This window comes from Homo sapiens, chromosome 10, assembly GCF_000001405.40.
Source record: "Homo sapiens chromosome 10, GRCh38.p14 Primary Assembly".
NCBI classification, from domain to species: Eukaryota; Metazoa; Chordata; class Mammalia; order Primates; family Hominidae; genus Homo; species Homo sapiens.
The window spans coordinates 59,150,457-59,155,085 of record NC_000010.11 but is presented as its reverse complement, the minus strand read 5'-3'; positions in this window follow the sequence as shown (position 1 = coordinate 59,155,085).

Sequence of the window (4,629 nt, the reverse complement as noted above, 5' to 3'; positions counted from 1 at the left end):
TGAACCTTCTGCCAGCATCCATGAAATAGTAACAGATTATTAGCTTGTAAGTAGGGTGATATCTCAGACCTTTTATACTTTTTTACAATAATAGTAGGCAATACCTTGTTCATAAGAAACAGTTCTAATAGTAAAATGGAATAATTAAAGTGAAAAAGGAATTATTGAACATAATACCTGAGTAACTATGGTCAACATAGTCCTGAAAGCTATTGTCAAATTAAATAGAGTGAGAGTCTTTCAAATTTTATTGGTGCCCTTTTGCTGTATGAGATTCTATTGAAACTCTGTCTTTGGTGATTTATATTTTTCAGTGCAGTCTTGCTAAATTATAACCAACTTTGCCTATTCTGTTTGGGTAAAAGTGAGTTTTAACATCTAGTTCCTGATTTTATAGTCTTTTAGTCAAACCTAAAAAAGATCACAATGCCCTTAACTACTCATTTGTAATAAAATTTAAATCACATGAGTTAAATAAATTATGATATTTATAAACTATGGAATGATGGGATAATGTTCACAATATAACAAATGAAAAAGGCAGCCTACAAAATTGTATGTAATATTAACTTCCAAATTTAAAAAAATCAGTTTATCTATTGATATAACACAGCCGATTGATACAGTTATAACATAGATGATACATGCCATACTATTAATGCCTTCTTTGTATTTTTCAAATTTTTGCAATAAACATATGTCACTTTTATAATCATGAAAGTTCTTAAAACTATTAAATTATTTTAACCCATATTTGCAACTCACATGTAGTTACTATGCAGTATACTTGGCATGTATAATAAACAGAAGTTTCTAGATTTATATTTATATACTTATTTTATCATCACATTTATTATTTTATATATCTTGTTTGTCCTTTGTGCTGCATATTTTGTAAATAACTGCAAATTCCCTTTGGAAGAATTAGAATGTAAATAATAATTGGAAGTTTTACTTTTTGGAAAATCTATGGATTTTTACCATGAAAGCCCAGAAAAAAAAATACTGGTTGGAGGAAAGATAATATGACTCAGAAACTGTTCATTCTTCAAGTAGATTGAGAAATAAATCTACTAGGTAGAACACAAAAAACAAAACAGAAATTTCTCATTGTGAGAAAGTAAGTGTAGGAGTTAAGAGGTGAATTGTGTCTCCTACAAATTCACATGAAGTAATAACCCCAGGTATCTTAAAAGGATGGCCTCATTTGGCAATAAGGTCTTTGCAGATATAGTCAAGTTAAGATGAGGTCATTAGAATGGGCCCTAGTCCAGTATGATCGGTATCTTTATAAAAAGGGAAAATTTGGACACAGATACAGACACCCACACAGAGAGAATGCCCAAAGAATATGGTTTATAATGTGCGGCTAGGACTCAATGAGATAGGGTTGATAGTGGAGGAATAAATCAGAAGAAATTAAGTGTCACAGAAACTGTAAAAAGAATGTTTCAATAAATAGATTGTGATGAAGATCATCAAATGATGGACAATCATGGAGAAGCAGTGTTAAATATTAAAAAGGTACATTTAAGCTTTGGAGGCAGAGAGAATTGGGTTTAAATGTTATCTGTACTAACTAGCTGTGTCAGCTATGAAATTCATGTTACCTCACTAAACCTTATTTTTCTCACCTGTAAAGAAGGGGCAATATGTGTCTTTTTAAAGTTTGGTTGTAATTAAGAGCAGCCACACTCTCTCTCTCTCACACACACACAAACACACACACACACAAATGCTTAGCAAACAGGTGCTCAATAAATGGCCACTGTTGTTACTGCTGTAAGACAATAGAGAAAGGTGTGGGACTAGACTACTAGTAAAAAAAAAAAGAAGTAGAAAAAAATACTAAAAGAATATATTTTCTATTCTTAACAGTAGGCAATTACTTAATGAGCACTTACTATGTGAAGGAACTATTCTCAGCACCTATATGTATTACCTTATTTCATCCTGACAATAATCCTTTAAGTAGATACTATTTTGATTCCCATTTTACCAATGAGAAAAAAAGGCATAAAGCTCTTACTTGCTCAAGTCCACACAGATGATAAGTGCAAGAGCCAGTATTCAAAACCATGTTGTTTAAATCTAATGTTGATAGTTTCCAATACTGTGCTACATTTCTTCTCTTTTAGAATCAATGGTGTGTTATCAGCTAGATATTTAGTCTGTGATAATGAATCTTTAGTTCTTTCTTTAGTGGCCGTAGAATTTCTTAATGCTGAGTTATTTCAATACAGGCAAGTCTGGAAAATAGTTTTCTACCAAACAGCCTCTTCTATGTTCTTAGTGATTTATTAGAATATGGAATTTACTTTTGGGATTCAGGGTAAGACAACTGGGAGATGTGTCCTACCTCCACAGTAATTAGCTACTTAATGTCAGGTCTGAGAAATTTTGTGGACTTTAATTTTTTTGACATTATGTCTGCAAATTCATTTAAACATTTTTGGGTAGAAGTGGAATGTTCAGGTTTGCTCATTTCAGTTTGCAAGACCCAATTGTTAAATTTTCAGTAATTTTGCAAGCTGGTTACTAAACATAGCCATTATTAAAAATTAAACTATATAAACACAGAGATAAATACTATATAAACAAAGGCTATAAATACTCAAAACGCATTATTTTCTAATTATTTTTACTATATTTTATTATTATCTGTGCTTTTAAGGTTATTCATATTAATCTTATCTGTATGGAGAAAATACCGTATTTTGTGTGCTGTTACACATCTCTTCCAAACTCTGTGTTCAGCAACATCAAGTTGGTAGCTTGAAACTGGCCATAGTGGGAGTATTTATTCCACAGAAATTGGTTAGCTAATGCTAAAATTAGGGATCTCCCAAACCCTGGCCAGTTGTTAAATCTTTATCAGCACACCACTGCAAAGCTGATAGACTGTAGTTGTACCCCACTGAAAATCCTCTATCCTGGCACTATCATTTAAACTGCCATTTGTAGAATTTCAGAAATATATTTAAAGCATTATTTATCAGTACTTGGTATAATTAGAAATTCATATTGCTTACTGGGCCATCTCAGTGATCTCAAATAGATGACTAAATTGTCCATTTTATTTTCTTTCAAATCCAAAGAGCTAGTGTTTTCCCTTTGGAGAAACTAATAATCAAACTTCTATTTTTGACTTCCCTACACTTTCACCATTTCAACTCTTTGAAATCTCTCTTTTTATTAGCTTTTTAATTTATAAAAATCATCTTTGATCACTGAGCTCATTTCTTCTCAACTCAAATATTTTCTGGTCCATCCTCACTCCATCCTGTGTGCAAAAGGCCACTTTAAGAAAGGGATAGCAGTGGTTAAAAGGCTCTTTGGAAACCAGAGTGATGCTTGAATTTAGCAAGAGGAAGAGTACAAGCAGGAGGCAAAAGTAAGAAGAGGCAATACAGCCTAGGGGGTGAGAAGGGCATGGGCTCTGAAGTCACTGTCTGGATCCAAATTCCAGCTCTGCCAATTACTGCTATGTGACTTCAAGCAAGTTACTTAACCTCTCTGAGCCTTAGTTTTCACTTCTATAGTATGGGGATAATAATTGGATCCATCGCATATAGTTGTGCATATGGTCAGTATATTTGTTGTTACTCCCTCTACATGTCAAAAGATAGGGTTTTCTCCCCCAAAACAGAAAGTCGGGTTGGTCATTTGTTATACACTTTTAGTCAAGACTTTGTTTAGCTGAGAATATCTAAAGTAGCTCATGTATTTATTCTATTGAAAAATGTAAACTTTTGGAAAAAAGTGTTCCAAACTACTATTCCTCAATTTTTAATTATGTACACATTGTATGAGCTATTGCAGTTGGAAAATGGACAAGCATAATGGGACTGGCAAATTGATTCAGTCTATCTAAATGTGCTGCATACAAATCAATTGTGCAGTGACCTACTTGGATTACTGAGAGTTAACTAAATGACATCCTGTGTGAGAAGGTAGCCATTTGGCCATATGTAGGTGAAGTCTTTCAGATGATCTACTTGGGATCAAAATCAAAAGGGCACAGTTGACTTGTGCTAAAGTGTATAGTACTATTGTTCTGAAATATGATTAAAGAATTTTGAATCTTTACTTAATAGTTATTGCAGAATTAAATATATATAATCCCCATGGAGACGTCCCTATTTTTAAAAACATTTCTCTATTATCTAGTGATTCAGAAGTAATTATGGGTGAGAATAATTTGATTTGAGGTTTTAGATGTAACCAAAGTTCAAAAACATGAAAAACTGTATAAAACCAAGATTTAGACAATTATTCATAGACTTCAATGGAGAAATAATAGTCTTCAACAAATGGAGCTGGAATAATTTAAAATTTATATGCAGAAAAAGGGTGAACTTGAATCCACATATCACATTATATACCAAAATTAAGTCAAAATGAATCATAAATTTAAATGTAAAATTGAAAACTATAAACCTTCTTGAAGGAAACATAGGAGACAACTGTTGTGATTCCAAGTTAGGCAAATATTTCTTCAAGATAACACCAAAAGCACAATTCATAAAAACTGAACTTCATCAAAATTAAAAACTTTTGCTCTTCAAAAGGCACTATTAGACAAATGAAAAGGAAAGCCACAGACTGGTGTAAAATATTTAAAATGCA